This window comes from Homo sapiens, chromosome 6 (assembly GCF_000001405.40).
Source record: "Homo sapiens chromosome 6, GRCh38.p14 Primary Assembly".
NCBI classification, from domain to species: Eukaryota; Metazoa; Chordata; class Mammalia; order Primates; family Hominidae; genus Homo; species Homo sapiens.
Window position 1 is genome coordinate 127497002 of NC_000006.12, and position 20964 is coordinate 127517965.

At 39.1% G+C, this 20964-nt stretch overlaps 1 protein-coding gene and 2 long non-coding RNA genes across 3 annotated transcripts in view, besides 2 other annotated features; 1 reads left to right on the forward strand and 2 right to left on the reverse strand.

Annotated features, from left to right (window-relative positions):
- Nucleotides 1-20964, reverse strand: part of SOGA3-KIAA0408 (SOGA3-KIAA0408 readthrough) — an 80930-nt gene that overhangs the window by 58596 nt on the left and 1370 nt on the right. Inside the window, exons 2-4 of the long non-coding RNA NR_174482.1 lie at nt 18513-19701; nt 17822-18046; nt 15890-16048 (exon numbers count right to left, since the gene is read on the reverse strand). This is a non-coding gene — a long non-coding RNA (SOGA3-KIAA0408 readthrough). The remainder of the gene's footprint in view (nt 1-15889; nt 16049-17821; nt 18047-18512; nt 19702-20964) is intronic.
- MTCL3 (MTCL family member 3) overlaps nt 1-20964 on the reverse strand; it is a 46362-nt gene that overhangs the window by 24028 nt on the left and 1370 nt on the right. The window contains exons 2-4 of the mRNA NM_001400265.1: nt 18513-19701; nt 17822-18046; nt 15890-16048 (exon numbers count right to left, since the gene is read on the reverse strand). Coding sequence (NP_001387194.1) covers nt 15890-16048; nt 17822-18046; nt 18513-19613 — 1485 coding nt within the window. The 5' untranslated portion in view covers nt 19614-19701. The remainder of the gene's footprint in view (nt 1-15889; nt 16049-17821; nt 18047-18512; nt 19702-20964) is intronic.
- Nucleotides 13070-18299, forward strand: LOC107986642 (uncharacterized). Its single transcript, XR_001744337.2, has 2 exons — nt 13070-14239; nt 17286-18299. It is a non-coding gene; the product is annotated as an uncharacterized LOC107986642 (long non-coding RNA).
- Nucleotides 17806-18330: an enhancer, noted in NCBI's record as "H3K4me1 hESC enhancer chr6:127835952-127836476 (GRCh37/hg19 assembly coordinates)". NCBI's record gives its function as "activates a minimal SCP1, AML or CMV promoter by ChIP-STARR-seq in naive H9 embryonic stem cells {active_cell/tissue: H9 hESC(naive)}" and the evidence as "EXISTENCE:reporter gene assay evidence [ECO:0000049][PMID:30033119]".
- Nucleotides 19018-19247: a silencer, noted in NCBI's record as "silent region_17529". NCBI's record gives its function as "represses an Ori minimal core promoter by ATAC-STARR-seq in GM12878 lymphoblastoid cells {active_cell/tissue: GM12878}" and the evidence as "EXISTENCE:reporter gene assay evidence [ECO:0000049][PMID:35858748]".

Sequence of the window (20964 nt, forward strand, 5' to 3'; positions counted from 1 at the left end):
TGGAGGTAGTCAAAGGGAAGGAAGAAATAGGAATTAACAATAAATGGGCATGAAGAATCTCACTACTATGGTAATTAAAATGTACTAAAACTGATTTATAGTCATTGTTGCACAACGTGGAAGTTTACTACAAAATCACTGAATTGTACCATTGGAAATGGATTAATTATATTACATGTAAAATATGATTCAACAAAGTTATTTAAAAAATCAATCAGGTAGCTAAAACTTCTGCACCCCAATCATATTTTCCCCAGTACATGCATAAGTACTGCACAGACAATACTGTAGCTCTCTGGTGGTTAAATATTCAAACAAGTAGGAATTAGGCAAGGAAAAAGAGCTAGGTGACTAGCTGTGCAATCAATTATGAGATATATTCTTTCCTTATCCAAACATTCAGGGGAAGAAACATAGGTAGAAAAGACTTGGGAGCACCCATGTTGAGGTTTATTCTTTTTCATATATTAAAGGTAGTTAAAGAACAACTACAAACTTCTTCAAATATTTCTAAGATATGTCTCCCTCAGAGTCAGTGTACCTGAGTGCTGCAGTAGCAGCCTTTCCTACTTCAAACAGGCCAGAACTAGCTGAATGTTTACTATCATCAGTAATTGAGCTGGAATTGTGCACGTCAAGCTGTTCTATATCTTGGCTCTGAGAAGGGGCAACTAATAGCAAATGGAGAGTGAGAGGAACTAAGAAAAAAAGCCACACAGTGAGTATCTAAAGCCAACATTGAATGTATAAAGAATGTTTGACATTCAATGATGATATTTTCTAAGAGAAAGAAAAAGGAAAAAAGAAGATAAAATTGCACTGAGTCAAAACAAATCAATGAGGAAAGGATAGTCTTTTCGACAAACGGTGCTGGGGCAATTCGAGATCCACATGCAAAAAGATGAATTTAGACTCCCGACTCACTCTATACATGAAAATGACTCAAATTGGATTGTAGATCTGAATGTAAGAGCTAAATCCATGAAAGTCTTAGGAAAAGAAAAAACATTGAAGTGAATCTTCCTGTAGGTTAGGCAAAGATTTCTTAGATGCGACACCAAAAACATAAGTGATGAAACAAAAGAATACAAATTGGACTTGATCAAAATTGCAAACTTTTGCACTTCAAAAGACACTATTAAGAAACTAAAAAGACAAGCCTAAGAAGAAAACATTTTCAAATCATATATCTGATAAAAGACTTATATCCAAAATACAGATAGAGCTTAAATTGGAACTCAAAAATAAGTAGAAAACCCAATTAAAAATAGGCTAAACATTGTGAATAGATATTGCACAAAATAAGATATATGAGTGCACAATAAGCAGATGAAAAGATACTCAACATCATTAGGGAAACAAATGAAAACCACAATGATGTATCATTTGATGCCCAGTGGACTAACAATAATAAAAAAGATATACAATCAGTATTGAAAAGGGTGTGGATAAATTAGAATCCTCATCCGTTGCTGGTGGGAATGTAAAATGGTGCAGCCCCTTTGGAAAACAGTTGGCAGTTTCTTTAAAAAGTTAAACACAAATTCACCATATGACCCCCAAATTCTAATCTTAGCTATCTACCCAAGAGAAATGAAAACATATATCCACACGAAAATTTGCATGTGTGTGTTTATAACAGCATTATTTATAAAATTATAAAGTATCCACTGTCCAAAAACTGCTGAATGAATAAACAAAATGTGGTATATACATACAATTGAATATTATTTGGAAATAAAAAGAAATGAATTACTGATACACGCTACAGGGATGAACCTCAAAAACACTGGTCTAGGTGAAAGAAGCCAGGTACAAAAGGTTACATATTTTATTATTGTAATTATATGAGATATTCAGAAAATAAAAGCTATAGATTCCAAAAATAGATTAGTGGCTGATTGGGGTTAGAGCTAAGAACAGAAGGTGACTGCAAATGGACATGAGAGATCTTTATGAAGTGATGGAAATGTCCTAAATTTGGGTTATGGTGATGGTTGCATAACTTTGCATATTTACTAAAAACCATTAAATTGTACAATTAAGTGAATTTATGGTATGTAAATCAAACCTCAAAGCTGTAAAAGTAAAATGCATCAGGATGATTTAAAAAGTCAGCTAAAAAAAGAAAAAGATCCCCCAAATATTTCTGAAAACTATTTGCTATGAGAAACAGAAGATAGCGTTAGAAAATATTGTACCCTTAAAAAGATAACAAAGATGGCCTCTATGAACTAACAAGAAGGTCATAACGGGAGATGAAGCTCTGAAGACTAGGAAGCTGTCAGGAATAAGAAAACTCAAAAAGGTCTTTAAAATTCAACACAAGAATGAAATTTTGCACTGATGTCTTTAAGGAGCACAACTGACATCGCAGAAAATTGATTCCATAATATTGAAAACAAACTTGAAAATTATCTAAGGCCACAGAGGAAAAGGATTAAAAAATGAAAGGATGAGAAGATAGTAAGGAATACAAAGCAAAGAAAATGCTAAGAAGAAAAAATAGAGCACATATGATTATCAAATCTATAATACAAGAAAGCTTTTCTGAAATAATGAACACACAAGTGTTAATTTTCAGAGTAAAAGGTCTGTATGTTCTGGACATGTTATAAACAAAGACCATCACCTAGATATGCCCAGGTGGTATTTCTGAACCGGGTATTCTTCTTTAGCTACCCAGATTCATGCTTGCTCCTTCTCTGCCCTGCTCTGTGCTCCAGGAGGCTGACTTCTGCAAACTTTACCCAGGCTTTCTCCCCATCGGTTGACTCCTCCTTGGGTTTGGCCAATAGAAGGCACTGGCAGGCACGCTGACAGGTGGAAGGTGGGAGAAGAGATGGTTCAGAGTATTTCCCCTCACTACCTTTCTTTTACAACACCACATTTTTAGGCAGTAGCTAAGTCCCCTTCAGGCGATAGATCCCACTGGGAGGACCCTACTCAACTGTTAGTTTTCACTGGCCTCTATAATACTATTTCCTCAGCTATGTCTTCATTTCTCGGGGTGGTGATGGTTTCCAAGAGTAGCAAGATTTTTCTGAATGCCTTGCCAGCCCTGGTTTGTTCCCATAATCCTGCCCATACTGCTGTGAGTAATAATCTCTTTTCATTTGAACCATCTTGGGTGAATTCTGTTTCCCACTGGGGAACTCAGATTAATATAAATGATGAAGAAAAATATCCATAAATACGTAGAGAGAAAATAATCTGACCTACAAAGGAATAAAAGTCAGACTGATCTCATACTTCTCCATTGCAAAATGAATGCCAGGGCTAATATATAATAAGACATATTTTTTTGACTCAATAATTTCATTCTGCCATTCCTGTGTGAAATCAACCAAAGGCTATTTTCAAAAATACAAAGGTTCAGAAAATATTTATAAGCTTTTTCCTGAAAAATCATGTCAAGTATTATCTAATCAATGAAAGATTAGTTAAAACTATGATCTCAGAATTGTAGAAGCTGTGGTTTAAAATCATTGATAGCATTGAATTGTTTGAATACCTATAATTTTTTTTAACTTTTATTTTAAGTTCAGTTGTACATATGCAGGTTTGTTATATAGGTAAACTTGTGTCATGGCAGTTTGTTGTACAGATTATTTTATCACCTAGGTATTAAGCCTAGTGTCCATTAGTTATTTTTCCTGATCTTCTCCTTCTCCCACCTTTCACCTTCCCACAGGCTTTAAAATGGAAAGTATATACTATAACAATGAAACATTTAGTAGTAATAATTTTATCTATAATCTCACATTAAATTAACAAAGAACAGGCTGTAGTGTAAGGAGTTAAACTAACTGAAAGAATTTTTTTTTTTGAGATGGGATCTCACTCTGTTGCCAGGCTGGAGTGCAGTGGTGCGATCTCAGCTCACTGCAACCTCCACCTCCTGGGTTCAGGCAATTCTCCTGCCTCAGCCTCCCAAGTAGCTGGGATTACAGGCACGTGCCATCACGCCTGGCTAATTTTTTTGTATTTTTAGTAGAGACGGGGTTTCACCATGTTAGCCAGGATGGTCTTGATCTCCTGACCTCGTGATCTGCCTGCCTTGGCCTCCCAAAGTGTTGGGATTACAGGCATGAGCCACTGCTCCTGGCCAAGAATTTTTTAAGTTTCATTTTTGATTTTGGCAATTGGGAAAACTGAGAATTGTACATGTATTACAGAATAAAATTAACACTAGTAGAATTAAAAATAGGATAACTACTTTCAGAACGACTCTAGAACATAATTATTCTAATTTAAACTTAGCCATACCGCTAAATGAATAAACCCAATAGCTACATTTTACCCTTGATAGATAATACTTCCCATATAACAGATATTCCTAAATACACACAGTTGGATCACTTGATAAAGTTCTATGAAAATTTTTCTTTTCTTCATATGCAAAGAGGCAGTGGATACAACTACATACTAACATATTAGTTGCTCATTATATATCAGAATAAATAAGCAATTGGTCTAATTATTTCTACTATTATTCAAGGTTCTTGGCTAATGTAATGGTAAGAAACTGTTACTTTGTGAAGGAAAGAAAAAATTAACAGTTAATTGTATTAACCAGTTACCCCCATGATTAATTGGCTACACAAATTTAAATAACTGAGCTAGCCAGCAGATCAATGTAGAATATTCTGAATTTTTAATTTTAAGTGCTTCTAAGTTGAATCATGCTGAATATAAATGCTCCAATTAAGTGAAATATATAAGTATAAAATGGAAAATGTTAGGAAAGGCTAAATGACAACTTCAAATGTCATCTTCAAATGTCATTTACCATCTGGATAAAGATCAATTTAACTGATCCTGAAATGTAAAAAATGGAATTAGGACAGAAGCATCAAATAAATAATTGTATTTCCATTCAAATTCAGTCAGGTCTAAGGTCTTCAACATATAACTGAAATTTTAATTTGGAAAATACTTTCCAATATACAGTAAAATTGCACATTATATTTACTCAAAAGTAACATCACAAGTATTTGAAAACAAAAGAACTGAGTAAATTATAATTTAAGAAGCTAAAGATGAGCTCCTATGACAGCAATCTTATCTTTCTAAACCTCTTCTCTTGCCCAAACATTTATTGATATTTTTTATATGTATCACTGTGTGTGTAAGTGAATTAAATAGAAATATAATTCTTAAATTCAGAGAACATTAAATTTAGCTGTGGAGTCAATAAAAACTACAATGCAAACTAAATTATCTTGTGCTTGACCACTTTTGATCAAAGAACAGTTCTTCTTTCTCTGCTACTCTGTTTCTTTTTAGGAAGCATATTTATCTAGCAGTAAGGTAGAAGAGAGATATTTAACAGGACAAATCAACATAGTCAGCCCTGTTGCCCTGTTGATGAATGCAGTGGCAGGTAATGCAGCCAGATTATCTCCCTGTCCATCAAAACATTTGCAAATGTGAGCTAGTGGATCCTGAAGCAGTAAGGACTAAATACAGGCCTAGTGGAAGAGGCAATGGGTCAGATGGAAGAAGTTAGCATGGCTTTATAATGAAGTGAGATTTAAAGGGGAATTTCAGAGAGTAATAGACATTCATGAAAAAATGGAAAGAAAAAGCATTTCAAAGTTCTGTAGAAACAGTTGGGGTCCTAGACAGCTCTAAAATTTTATTCTGATAGACTTCAAAATTCTTCCCAGGAATTGTCTTTATTAGCTAACTTACAGCTACGTGATGTTAATAACAGTAACATCTGATATGGTACCATACAATTTATAAAGCACCTTCACATATGTTATCTCATGTTACCCTTGTGAATAGACAGGATAGGAAAAATATTTATTTTCCTTTAAAAGGTGATTAAATTGAGAGTCAGCTATTACGTGACTTATCTGAAGTAACATAGCTATTACATTTGTAAAAAGTGAGATAGAATTGACAGACCTGAAAACACTTTTCTAGTCCTATGTTCCTAGTTTTTGCTCCAAAGATTCCCTTTCTGTAAGATAAAATAGATTTTTCCCTACAGCCACCTTGGAAGTCTTCTCTCAGTGTTTACTCAAAACATTCTCTGATAGACCCTAGAGTATTATAGAGGATTATAGATTCTAGGAGTATTGAGGTTCCCTAAAGGGGGTAGGTTATTTGTGGGTCAGGAAGAACATGAAAGTGGCAGTGGAGGGGCAGCCTGAGTCCTTGCAGTGAGGCCACGCAGCACTGATGACTGCAGACCACGCGTTGGAGGCAGACAGACTTGGGTGTGGGCCTGGCCTGCTAACTGGTGACATTAACCTCTCTGAGCCTTAGAGTCTTCATCTCTAAAATGAGGCTATTAACAACATAATTATACATAAACTATCTAGTTCAGCCACTGGCATGTAATTAGCACTCAACATTGGTGGCTACTGAGCCACTGCAGCCCTGGGGTAATTTTCCATATCTCTCCAGCCAAATTAGCTGCTAAATCAATTGTCTCAGACATTGAAGATATCAAGCAAATTCCAATGGATAGTCTTTGGGAGTGACAGGATCTGCAGTCTTCTCTCATTCATTAAACCCTCATTTTACATTTTTTCACCAAAGCACAAAGAAGTTAAACTGCAGAGCTGATGCCCAAGATGTCAGAGTTGTCTTCTTGTTCTTGGGTTCCTGTCCCCATTCCCTTTCTCAAGAATCCAATTGTACCTTGTTTCAGGGAAGACCTGTTGTTTCTGGGGGATAAATGGAATTTGAGAGATGCAAAGTAGAGTGCTAGAAGTTTCTAGAAGGTAGTAAGTTCTTGGGAGATCTCTATTTCTGGAAGTGGGGTGAGGCTGGAGTTACCCATCTACTTCCTTTTCATCATGTTTGCACTGCACTAAGCACCATGGAAAGAGCCCTGGTTCACAGCCACTTTTTTTTTCTCTGCAAAAATCGGGCATGAAACACCTTGCTTAATTACCATTTATTCTCTTTTTGAAATTACTTATTGTTTATCAACTTTGTGCCCTGTTCTGTTTTGGTTGTTGTGGACACAGTTAATAACATGGACTTGGTCTTAATAACATGGACTCAGTCTTTAGTCTCAAGGAGTTTACAGTCAGGAAACTGTAAACAGTTTCAGCAGGAAAAAGTTATATACAAATCAAGTAAAAAATAATTATTGTAATATTACAGAAGAAGGTGGTCTCATTGCCTATATGCTGGGTACTGAACTAGATGCTGAGGGTGCCACAGGGACCAACACAGGAGCGGCTCTTGTCCTCTTAGAACTCACAGTCTGGTTGGTCTTGTGAGGACTTCATGAGAAGTATTTGGTATAGTAATGTGTATGTGAAGCTATAGTCAAAATACAACCTGTATGAGGCTCTTTCCTATTAGAAAATAATTAACTTGTGGGCAATGACTATCCACCTGGTGACATTATCTGTTATTCCTTATACATATTATATATATGCTTCATAAATAGTTGCTAAGTGAAAGTCAGGTCCAAGTTTATATGTTTTTATTTTTATGTAAAAGGCTGAGACAGAAATAAGATGCTATTTCTGCCACTACTGGGAGCAAGGCCATTCACAGGCAGCCAAGGGTGGCCATGGTAGAGGGGAGTGGTGGAGAATAGTGTCGTTTATTACTGTCCCAAAGCCTGAACGCACCACATGGACTATTTAAGTTACAACTGTGCCCTGAGAATCTCTTAAGGAAGGGATTGAGGTTAATTGAGGTCTTTTCTGCATGAGGTTGATGTCTGTCACACATACAAAGGCCAAGTAATCTCAAAAAATTTTTTATTATGCTCTTGAAAACATAAAGACTTGCAACTTCAAAAAACATCAGAGAAGTCATAGGGAATAAAAATAAATTTCAATAATAACAAAATACAAACATTTGGATGTTTAGCTGAGGATCAGTGCTGGTTAATGGCCACATTCTGCGGTGAGAGCCTGGCAGCCTTCCAGGGGCAGGAAGCAGGGGCAGATTTCATTCTTAGAATCATATGGTTAAAAACCCCACCTCAAGATTTTCTGCAGAAATTAGAATGTTTAGGGGCCATCATTCAACACCCTGGTTTATTTACTGGAATAGATGATGAATTCTTTTGTTATCACATGGTCTTTGTAGCTTCCTAGAGTGTAGAGCCAAGGCCACATCAAAAGGCATGCCTGGATTATTAGGGAGTTTCAACTTGTACTCATTCCCACATATCAGGTCTTCAGTTGTAATTTCTACAGCGCTAACACAGGCCCTGAGTACTGAGTAGCAATGGCGAGATAACTGTGGGTCTTACTTCCTGTGTTAAAAATGGAATCAACCTAAATGCCTATCAATTATAGACTGGATAAAGAAGAATGTGGTACATATTCACCATGGAATAGTATGCAGCCATAAAAAGAAACAGATCACATCCTTTGCAGGGACATGAATGGAGCTGGAGGCCATTATCCTTAGCAAACTAACACAGGAACAGAAAACCAAATACTGCGTGTTCTCACTTACAAGTGGGCGCTAAATGATGAGAATACCTTGACACATGGAGGGGAACAACACTCATTGGGGTTTTTCAGAGGATGGAGCGTGGGAGGAGGGAGAGGATCAGGAAAAATAATTAATAGGCAATAGGCTTAATACCTGAGTGATGAAATAATCTGTACAACAAACCCCCATGACACAAGTTTACCTATGTAACAAACTTACACTTGTACCCCTAAACTTAAAAGTTAAAAAATAAAAAAGATACATGTTCCTCAAATGTCCATTTTTTTAAATTAAAAAATGTGTATCTGGAAAAAAACTTTCAGTAGGGACCTTCAGTGGGTGCAAACTTGGAGTTTAATGCAACGCTTTGCCATCTATATCTTTATATCCTCTGTGTTATCTACATGGCCACACTACACCAGGCATTCAAGAAATAGCTGTTAACTGACTATATGAAAAAATAATTATAGTATTTAAATAATAGTAATGAAACTGAATTTTATACCTATGAAACTTTCAGGGAGAACAGAGATGGATAACTGACAAAGTAGAAAATGATATATTTATAGGAAGCTTCGAGAGCACTCAGTTTAATTTCTGCATTTACATATTAAAAACTGAGGCCTATAAATTTTAAGTTATTTGCTCAAGGTCATAGGGAATGACAGATGAGGTCTCAAAGCTAGTTTCTAGACTCCATTATTCGTGTACTTTCTAACAATCACACTCAAATTCATGGCTAATGAAAAAATGACTATTATCTTTTCTGTAAAATTTTAACTCATAATTTGTAGATTCTATAGAAAAGACCTGTCAAGTATTTAGAAGGCTCATTTATCCATGATGGTTGCATGTAGAGTCTGTGTATAACTGCAACTTTTTGTTGTACTATATGGATTTTCTTCATGATTGCCCCAGAGGCCTCACATAAAACTCAGTGTTGCTTCTGTATCTGGTCACAGCTAGGAAATGAATTCTTTCAATATTTGGTCCCCAGCCTTGAGTGATACTAAACTCAGAGCTGTTTCATAACAATGTACATCCCTTGGATTAAGTTTTTCTTCACCTTCCCAGCGTTTTTACCTAATTTTAAAACCCTTATTTCAATAGTTTTATGGCTTTATTGTGAACCATTTCAAATTCCCCCTCCCCCGTCTTTATTTATTTTGTTTGATACGGAGACTTGCTCTGTCCCTCAGGCTGGAGTGCAGTGGCGATCTTGGCTCACTGCAAGCTCCGCCTCTCGGGTTCATAACATTCTCCTGCCTCAGCCTCCCGAGTAGCTGGGACTACAGGCGCCCACGACCACGCCCGGCTAATTTTTTGTATTTTTAGTAGAACGGGGTTTCACCGTGTTAGCCAGGGTGGTCTCGATCTCCTGACATCATGATCCACCCACCTCGGCCTCCCAAAGTGCTGGGATTACAGGCATGAGCCACCACGCCCGGCCTCAAATCTCCTTTTAAGGTAGGTTGGATACAGAAGTCAGTGAAGTAAACAACACTTCAGTAACTATATAAGTAATATACTTCCATGGAGATACTTAACATGGATAAATTGCTAATCTCACAGAGCTGAGTCACTCAAAGTTCAGCCTTGAGCCCTTGGACCAAGTTAAACTGGCCTCAAAGAGTTCAGGGTTGGAGACTTAACTCTTATGAATATGCTTCATCAGCAAAAGCAACAAAAATTTAAATATACATGTATTAAACAATTTTTAGGAAGCCCATTACGTTGCATACATCAAAATCAATAGATATTTTAGATGGGAACTGGGAATGTACTCAACAGGAGATGCTTAATCAGGTAAAAACCTGTATTTGTTCAGCACTTTATAGTTTCAATAATATGAAGTGCAAAATTTCAGCCAAGAAAGGAACTGGAATCTGATCAACAACATGAGGGTGTGCCATGCTGTCCTGTATTTTTATGTAAATAAGAAATTTGAAATTTATAATAAAAGCTCATTATATTGCACAAAAATAATCCACAAATTTCTGATCTGTGTACTACTTTGCTTCTAATGGGGGCTTGGCATCTGGGTAAAACAGTCATTTACATGTGACTGAATATTAAAGATCACTTCAGAGTACATGGAACTGTATATCTAATTTCATTTAAAAATCCAATAAAATTTATAATGCCTACATAAATACATCTTTAAAAATGCATTCATAGGCCGAGGTGGGCGGATCACAAGATCAGGAGATTGAGACCATCCTGGCTAACACAGTGAAACCCTGTCTCTACTAAAAATACAAAAAATTAGCCGGGCATAGTGGCGTGTGCCAGTAGTCCCAGCTGCTGGGGAGGCTGAGGCAGTAGAATGGCGAGAACCCAGGAAGTGGAGCTTGCAGTGAGCCGAGATTGCACCACTGCACTCCAGCCTGGGCGACAGAGCAAGACTATGTCTCAAAAAAAAAAAAAAAAAAAAAAAAAAAAGAAAAAAAATGCATTCATAACACATGGCAACTTCCTGGAAGAAAAGCTTTTCTATGCTTACCTGACACACTCTTCCTTTTTTTAAATTTAGTCTCTTATTCCTGCCCATGTTATTCGACAAACTATTGGCTCTGAGAAGATATGACTAAAATAATAATGTGTAATTGATGCATCTAAATATATGTGTGGCCATTTCATTTTAAAATATCAATGACTACTGTTTTATTTTAAAATGTTAAGTAAACTACCAGAACCAGGGGAAAATATTTGCAAGAAATGCCCCATTAAACCGTCTCTTGGAATGCTTCTTCGCTGATTTATCACTCAACATTTCTTTTTCACATTTTATTATTCAGGTAAACATTCCCTATTAGAACCAAGTGTAGCTATGATCAGTTCTTTATTTTATATAAGAAAATAAATAGGTAATTGTAAATATATAGTACAGAATTTGCCTATTAAAGTGTTCCATTTGTAAAGAGAATCTGGGTATACAGATATACTCTCAAGGGACTCTAAAAAACAAGAAAACCAGAGACGCTGTTAAAATTTATAGTACTAATTATTTTTGTGTTCTAGAATGAAAGTTCATTGTAATAGATAAGATCTATTATACCAAGTGCACAAAAAATAAAAGTCCAAGATAGATGGTGCTATTTCAGTAGGCCAGTTAAGAACCCTCTGGAGCAAAGACTGGGAAAAGTTAAGAAAATTATTTTCTTTTAAGAATCTTGTGTATGGGTGAGGTATGAGACAATATAAGGAGTACAGATTCTGAAAAGAAGAAAGATCTGATAAACAGTTCTCATCATCATCATCTTACTCTTTTTCTTTGCTCTTCTGTTGGTGAATTCTTTGCTCAAATGTCTCTTATCAACACTTCAACAAGCACCAGACCTTAAAAGTGACATCAGATGACCCTTCTTCTCTTGATGATTACAAGGAGTTTCAAAGCTTTGAAAATAAAGTTCACTGCTACAGCAGCGGAACCTCATGACAGGCAGTGATCCTCAATTTAACTGGAGCAAAAACTCACCTCTCACAGAGAATGCATTGTCCAAAGCCTCCTCCACAACCTCACTTTATCCTATTTGTGTATGACGTTCAAAGAGCTAGTTGTTGTTTACATGACATAACTTTAATTAAAAACCTCTGTCTCTTTGATCATTTGCAATGTTGAAAGATAGAATGCCATTTTCTACAGGTTACAGAAAGGTAAAGGCATTCTTCTACAGCAAGAAAGCATAGTGCTGGTAGCAATCAGTGTTTTATAATTGGGATGACAATGCTATTAAGATTCGAAGGCAGCATTCGAAGAGGTCCCTCTTGTTTGCAGTTGGTCAAACATCAGCTATTTCAATACAAGCAATGAGATGCAATAGATGCAGCTAATTACCTCTATCCTGCCTCTACTCAATTCTTCTTACTCCCAGGTGCCTACTCCATCCTCTCAGGGGGAGAAGATAGACAGATAGATGTGAGGAGGTGCACAAGACCTTGTGCAGCCACCAGTCCTGAGAGCAATTGGTCAATACCCTTGAAGCTAATTAAATTTTTAGCAAACAGTTCTAAACTGTAGCAGATGGTCTATTGGTCCCAGCGGTGCTGTTCAACATCTATATGACTCCATGTAAAGATCTAAAAACTTGGAATTGGAGGATTGCTTCTCTAGAGTATATTCTATGATTTTTTGACTTTACTCTATAACTAGTGTCTTTTCTCTTAATGGAGAGCTTGGCCTGGTTCTACTTTTCTCCTTTAAAAAAATGACACGAAGGGATGACAATTCATCACTCACCAAATTAACCAAGTTGGTTAACACTCACCAAGGGCTTGAATATGTTTTCATTTTACAACCAATGAAGCAGATGGTTAACTGAAGTTGTTGCAAGTCATCCAAGGAGTAGCTTACAACCCTTATCCACAGAGTAAGCCAGTTATAATTGCAGCTCAGTTTTAATATTTACCGTTTTAGAGCATCATAAAATTACCATTGCAAAAATCTTATCTGAATGAAACATTTCTGATTTCTAAACATATTGTTAAACTACTTTTTCTATTTCTGACATTTTTCTGAACACTATGAAGGTCAACCTCAAATGGATAATTATAGAGAACTCCTACCAGAATATTATTTGGTTTTCCTTTATTATATTTAGTATCCTCCAGATGTTTATCTTCCACTCTTTCTCCCTTCCTGTTTTTTTTTATTTCTGTTCCCCACCACCTTCCATCTTCTCAAATCGTGAATGCCATTTTCCTAATAAAAGATTACTTTAAAGGCTGATGTTCTGCATATATACTCCTAAATTATTTTTACTTTTATTGTTGTATTCCCTAATCAGGCATTGACATTTGGTTTTTTGTAACTCCAAGGACAATCAAATTGCCTCTTTGGTATGAATATATATACCCACACTGCTTGGTGCTGGAACAGCATTCTCCCAACCCAGAAATAGAGCCCTGAAGGAGGAAATAGTCACAGGGAAGAGTGTGAGCAAAAGAATCAAGGAAACGCATCTTTACAATCTCCTGAGGACATTCCCAAGCTCTACCCTTTCTTCCTGGTGGCCAGATTATTTTGGCTTTTATTTTAAGATGGGAGAGGTCCCATTGTTCTGGCTAATGGATAGACAGTCTATGCATATTTTCCCCTTTAATGGAAGTAAAATGAAAATCAGAAAGCTCTTATGCCATTCTTAAGTACAATTTTTCAGGTATCCACTTAAAACATTCACATGACACCAAATTACAAGGCATTTCTTTTTTATCTCTGGTAATCAAGCGAAGTTTGTTTGTACTTGAATGTTTACAATTTAAAACACTCAAGGAATATGAGAGAGCACAAGTAACGTATGAATAGGGAATGGCGCCTATGAGACTGACAATGAACATTCTCTTTGCTTGCTCACAGGAAGCTATTAGATTGTTGCTGCTGTGGGTTGAATTCTGTTCTCTCCTTCTACCCTCCCTGTCAAATTCATATATTGAAGTCCTAACCCCCAGCTGCTCAGGATGAAATCTCATTTGGAGACAGAGGTATTTACAGAGGTAATCAAATTAAAATGAGGGGCGGGTGTGATGGCTCATGCCTGTAATCCCAGCTCTTAGGGAGGCAGAGGTGGGAGAATAGCTTGAGCCCAGGCAGGTCAAATGAGGTCCTTAGGGAAGACCCTAATCTAATATCACTGATATCCTTACAAAAAGGGGAAGTCTGGAAACAGAGAGCTACAGGGAGAATGCCATGTGACCATGAAGATGGCCATCTACAAGCCATAGAGGGAGGCCTGGAACATATCCTGCCTTCGCAGCCCTCAGAAAGAACCAGCCCTACTAACACCTTGATTCCAGACTTCTAGACTGCAGAACTGTGAGATAATACATCTTTTTGCTGTTTAAGCCACCCAGTTTTTGGTATTTTGTTACAGCTACCCTAGAGAACTAATACAGTTACCTACTTTACTTTTTTTTCTATAAATGAAAGTCAATTTTTGACATACCTTCAACTGTACATTATTGTTGAAGAAATATATACTTATAACTATATTAATTTCATATTTGATCTTTTAACTTTAGGGAAAAAATCTTTGCCATTCCTTAAATGGCAATGTTCTGAATTTCATGAGGAAAGTCTTACATACCAGAAAAAGATGTTGAGAATCATCAAAAACAATCTTTCAGTGTAGAACTGGATAAAAGTAGACAAGTACAAGTTACAGGCCTTTTAAAGTCACCCAGTTACTGGTGAAAATAGATCACACAGCTCCCAGTCTCCATATTTTTCTACTATAGCACAGAGCGACTCCTAGCTAGTAGCCAAGGATTTTATATCATTAAAATATTTTTTTACTATTTTCTTATGCTAAAAAATGTTTAAAGTCAGGATAATATAAGTAAACAGATCACAAAAAATAGTTTACTCCACTGAAACTGTATTCTTCAAAGTCCTAAGACATATTCTTAATCAGACTGTTGATAATTGCACTGTTATTTGCATTATATTTTTGTACCATTTTGAGATAAGCACAGCAATGACAGGTGGGTAAATACCTCAGTCTGTGGAAAGATTAGAATTTTCTTTAGAATTCTGCTTATCCAAGCAGAGGAAATTTTTCGGAAGACAACTTGTGCATTTGCTATTTCTCAATGGTAGTTTTCACAAGTTGCATTGTACATGTTCAGGTAGCTATCAAAGAGAAGTATAATTTAATTCTAATTAAATTGCTGTTTATCTTAAAGCTAATCATTTCTTGATAGGTGTTTCTGTCTCTTTTCTCCTCCATTTCTTTACCTTGATTCTGTTCTTTTAGAAGACTCATGGTAAACACATTTGGAATCTTCAAATAGCTGACATGAAGGAGAACTTTACTCTTCTACCCTAAAGGGTATAACTAAGATGAGCTGGCTAAAGTTGCAATTAAATATATATCATGTAAAAAAAAAAGGAAAATCTTTAAACAGAGCTATGATATGATACAATTGGCTGCTGTAAAAGATCTTCAGGGATAGTCACTGGTGATATTGCAAGCATTAGAACATTGCGGGAAGGGCTGGCTTTGCTATATATAGACTTCAAGCAATGAATGGATTAGATCAAATGGACCTTAGAGTCTTTTCCATCCTAAAAATTCATGGTTCTATGAACTCAATTGTAAGTAATCTCATGGGGCTAATTATTCCCCTCAACTATCACAAGTCTCATTCCTTCACACGCTTGACACTCTTTGCATTTAATATGCTGTGGAATTGATTTAATTAACATACATTTAGAAGACACAGAGATGAAACACAGAGATCAGTCAAAGCTCGTACATGTCGAGTTAGATACCGTGTTTAGGTCAGAATCTTTCGTTGCTACTCATTTATTAGTATGAAATCATGTATTTTTTACTATTTGGGTAAGAGTAAAAAATTGTCCTGCAATCATAAAAGAAATTTTTTAACAGTCATATTAGTCCTTGGGATTCTTTTTTAAAGGGCTAAAAATACATAGTACACCATGAAATAATCAAATACTAACCTCTTTCATTTTTTCCAGTTCATTCTGTAAAGCTTGCTTTGCAATTTCAACTTCTATGAGCTGTTGCCTCAGTTTCTCATTTTCATCTTCTGTTGTTGTTCTCTTTTCTTCCACATTTTCTAATTCATGGTGAAGTCTCACAGATACATCCTTTGCAACCTGAATTAAGGTGTTTGTAACAATAAAATATAATTAATGACAATATAATAAGGGCTAAAATTGTATTCCTATTGAAAGCATTAAAACCCAATATTTATATGGTGTTTACCATGTGCCAGGCATTATTCCACAAAGTATACATATAAGCCATTCACATATATCAATCGTTTAACCCTACAAAAATCCCATGGGATAGGTACTATTATTACTTCTATTTTGTAGATGAGGAAACTGAGTCTCAGAGAGGTCAAGGTCACACAGCTAATGAGTAGACACTGCTGGGCTAAGAGGCCTGGCAATCTGGCTCTAAATTTTGTTCCCTTAACTTCTGCACTACTCTGTGGTAAAAAATGTTCTATTGCATTTTATCACATGTAGAGAAATTTCACAAATTTCCTTTACTTCAGCAAAACTATGAGGTAGATGTTTCCATTATAATCTATGTTAAAGAATGAAAAATTGAAGTTTTTACAAGTAGTGGGTTGGGCTTGAATTTCAATCTTATAGCTTGAATTCCAGTTGCTTAATCTTAGGAAAGTTTTAGTCCTTGAGATTATTATTTTTTGAATGACTGTGCATTTTTGCCTCATATTTTGAGATTATCCTGGAAATTCTAGGGTTTGGAAGAAAAGTGGAGCAGACTGGTGTAGAGGCTTAGGACACAGGTTGTGATTTTGGACTGAGTGGAGAGTCAGCCTGGCACCTATTAGCTGTTTTCCAGGCCTGGGCACTTAACCTCTGTAAAAGGTGTAGCTTCTGCACCTATAAAATGGTGCCTTAATAATCCCTACATTGTAGGATTTTTTTTCCCTTGAGAATTAAATGAAATAATAATGTATGTAACAGTGTTTGCCACAGTGCTTAGTACATACTAAGCACTCGACAAAAGTTAAGAAAAAAAGTAATACGTCTTTCATAAAATGTTTACACATAGCTTTCTTTAAAACAAAGATTACACGTGATCTTTAAATCCCAATGAAGTTAATGCAATGAACGTATACTTATTTGGTTGTGCAAGGAGATTAAGTTAATGTCTAGTTTGCATAGTCAATGAATCTGCCTACAGTCAAACTGAACTGGAGACCACACCTGTCTAGAAAATGCACTTCAAGGTTGAGATTTTTCCACTGGAAGAAATTCTGAAGGAACAATTGCACTTTAAAAAAATGAGATTATTTCATTTACCTCACACCAAACAGGCTGCAAGTTGGTTATCTGTTTTTTTTTTCCCCCTCAGGGAGTCACCTAAGTGGCAAGTGCAGAAAGGAAGAAGTCCTGGAAGAAGGAAGTGGAGTGGACACTTGCTGAAAGAAATCTTAACTCTAGTATCTTCCCAGTGCAGTTCCTATTTTGGGTTTCAACTCCCCCAGAGGAGTCCTTTTAGTGCAGCTCCTGACTGCCCGATTCCACCGGACTTCTCTCAGTAGACAGACTGAAGGGCAGATCAAAGGCTAGAGCCTGCGCTCTGCCACGCCCTTGCTTCTGCCCAGAAGGGAGCCTTCTTCTCATCACCTCTTGAAGAGCCACCTTTGCTCCCAGGAGAGCACACTTAGCTCGTTTGCTGCCAGGCCCTCCACACACTCTGCACTCTTTAGAGCCACCTGCCAGTTCTCTCCCTTCTGAGACCCTAGTATTTTGTGGTTAGCGCTACGAAACTGTGTCCCTAAGGCTCCTTGCCAGTCGCCACTGAAGACTTCTCAGCCTAAAGAGCCCTTGGCCAAAGTCCCCACCCACCGCCCCTGCCGCGCGCCATTGAGCCCCCGCGCCGCAGACCTTGAGGTCCTGCTCCAGGCTGCGCAACAGCTCCCCGTCGATTTCCCCGGTCTGGGCGTAGCGGAGCCTTTTGCGCTCGGCTTTGCGGAGGCGGTACTGCAGGATCCGGCAGTTTTTGTTGGCTCTCTCCAACTCGTGGCGCATTTCCTGCAGTTGACAGGCATCCTCCTCGAAGAAAGTGTCCCTCATCTCGTCCATCTCGGTTCTCAGCTCATCGATCTCGTTCTGAGGCGGTGACAGGCCGCGTGTCAAAATCAAACTCGCTTCCAGCCCTTCCGACACACACCGTACACACCCCATTCCAATTCCAAATTCTCAGCTTTAATTGCCCTCTCTCTCCACGAGACAGGAGTGACAAGGAGCTGAGTACAGAAGAGGAAACTGGGGGAAAAAGGCCCACTTTAGGCCCTCTCTCGTTCTCTTACTCTACCTCTCTCCAGGAAGAAGTGTGACAAACCATTATAATTAGAGAAACGGAGGCCCAGATTTGAATTTAAATGAAAACCTCGCGTTACTGAGAGCAGATTCAAATTCCGGCAAGGCCTAGGAAACCCCCTCCCTCCTTTCTTGTTCTCCTCCCTCTTCAAGGCTCCCTAACAGGTTAGCAGCCTCTGATCCCTGCCGGTACACGCCCTAATCCTCCCAGGCCCACTCTTCCCATCCCCCAGCCGGGTCCCCCCACCCTCCTCACCTTGAGAGTCTCGTTTTCCTCTCGCAGCTTCTCCATCTCCTCTTGCATTTCTTCCTGCTCTTGGAGCTGCTGCGGGTGCGGCTGCGACGAAGGGGGCGCTGCCGCCTGCATGCCCCCGCCGCTCGCGCTGCCCTCTGCGCTCTGCTGGGGGCCCTCCGCCGCCGCCGCCATTGGGGAGGCGGAGGCGACGGCCAGGGTCTCGCAAACGGCAGGGGGGCCAGACACCGGGGAGCTGCGGCTACTGCTGCCGCCGCCGTTCTTAGCGTGCATCTGAGCCGCGGCCGCCGCCGCTGCCGCCCGCTCCTTCTTGAGATGGAACTGGATGAGCTCAGACTGCAGACATCCTTCTTTCCAGTAGCTCCCTCCACCACCGCTGCCGCCCCCCGCAACGCCGCTTCCGGAGTTTCTGCTGCCGGTTCCTGGGGTTTTGCCCGCAGAAGAGGAGGATGGAGAAGGGGAGGCCCCCTCCCCGCCGCTGCCGCCCCTCTGCTGAGCGCGTACGCCTTTCCCTCGCCAGCCCCTGGGCGGCGGCGGCTGCGGAGCGCCCCCCTCCCTTTCCCCGGAGCCGCCGCCGGCTCCTCCTCCTTCCCCGCCCCCTCCTCCCCCTTCTCCGAGCGGAGGGGGTTCCCCGAGTTTCGAGGGCACGGACTCTAGCTCCCGAGGCGGCTCCTCGGGCGGTCCGGGCCTCCTGCCGCCCAAAGCGGCCAGGGTCGCGGCGGGGGCCGCTTCAGCACCAGCCACAGGCTGGACAGCTCCCGGAGCGGCCCCTTTGGGCGCCAGGGGCGTCGCCTTCTCGGCCCCACCTCCGCCTCCTCGGATGCTGGCGGGCGGCCCCGTGCGGCTCCCGGTCTTGTTACCCTGCTGTTGCTGCTGCTGCAGCTGCTGCTGCCGAACAGAATTGAGTTTAGTGCCGGCCCCCACTGGGGACCGGGTGGCCGCGATTGTCTGTCGCAGCGAACTGTCCCTCGGTCTAGCGGGTGACTGAGCTCGCTGCTGCTTTCTGCTGCTGCCCTCCGGGTGCAGACGAGCCTCAGTGGCTGCAGCGGCGGGAGAAGCTGCTGCTGTGGCAGGGGCAGCGCCCCCGATTGGTGGCTGACTCATGGCTATGAACCTACCAGATGCGATTTGGAAGAGCCCATTACTAGATCATCCTCTTCCCTCTTCACCGCCGCCAACCTTCCTTCCTAAGCTGGGACAGAAACAAAAGGAGAGAAGAAGACAACATGTCTGAATTTTTGCAGAGCAAAGGGTGATATTGCTCCATTTGGATGGCGCTTAATAGAAGCTTTGACTTTAGGAATAGGATGCAGGGCTGTCTTTAGGAATAGGATGGAGGGCTGTCAATTCTCATTTTGCCCAGGGTGGCGCTGTCTCCATCTCACTCCACCTCAGCAAAATGACGGATCTGAAAGCAGCTGAACCTTACATTCTCATGGTAGCAGGCTTTGGAAAGGGTGAGATACAGAGTCAGACAGGAATTGATGGAAAGGGAGATATAAAAGAAAAGAGGATAAAGTGGAAAAGAAGCTTCAGAAAGAAAAGATATCCATATATTAGAGTTGTCAACTCTGCTTTTACAACTTTGGCTTTCCTTACCATCAAATCCATATGTAAAGCCTAGTTTACTGGAGAAAGTTTTCATTTAATTAGTATTCCCAAGTTCAATTAGAGGAAAAGGGTTATGATGTAGGGTTCCTAGAGAATATTTTCTACGGATAAATGACACTTTCCCCAGGCAGCTCCAACCCTTAATGTTGTTTTTGGGAAAATGCACCCAACTTCCTTTATAATAGAACTAAAAGAAAATATAAATAATGAATGCCTTTAAATCAATCTCAGTTTCAAGAAAATAATAGCATTAAGAATTGTCTATATGGGTTAGTTATTAGCAACCCAAAAACGTATTTTTTCCCTTTTGGGAAATAATTTTTAAAATACATTTGGAAAAGTTGTGGTCAGTTCTGCAGTTTCCTAAGTTTCTGGTGATGAATTTTCCTATGCTTACCCAGTTTTGTAGTCTTATGAATCACTTTAGTTTTAAGTGTAATTGCTAGATAGAAAATATTTTCATTCTTAGCCATCTTCTTACATCGCATATCATAGGCAAAAGTTGTACTTTTTAAAGTGCCCATTTCCTCCTATATAGCAATTCTGAGACAGAACCCAGAAGGCTGGTGCATCTTCCCTCATGGTGGTAAGATCAATTTCCAGTATGTGTATTTCCAAGATAAATCCGTCACTAGCTTCTTTAATCTGAAAAATAGCAAGTTACTGCCTCATGGGTTCCTCTCCCTAGGGATCCAGGCAGCTAGTCAATTAGTTGCCTTTTCCTTAAAATTATTTCTGTCTAAAGCACTGAAAGGGGCATGACTAGGCATAAATTTCTCCTTTAAAAATATTTGTTCTATACAGAGAGCAGATTACTTTACTGCCAGTTATTTTACTTGCATTA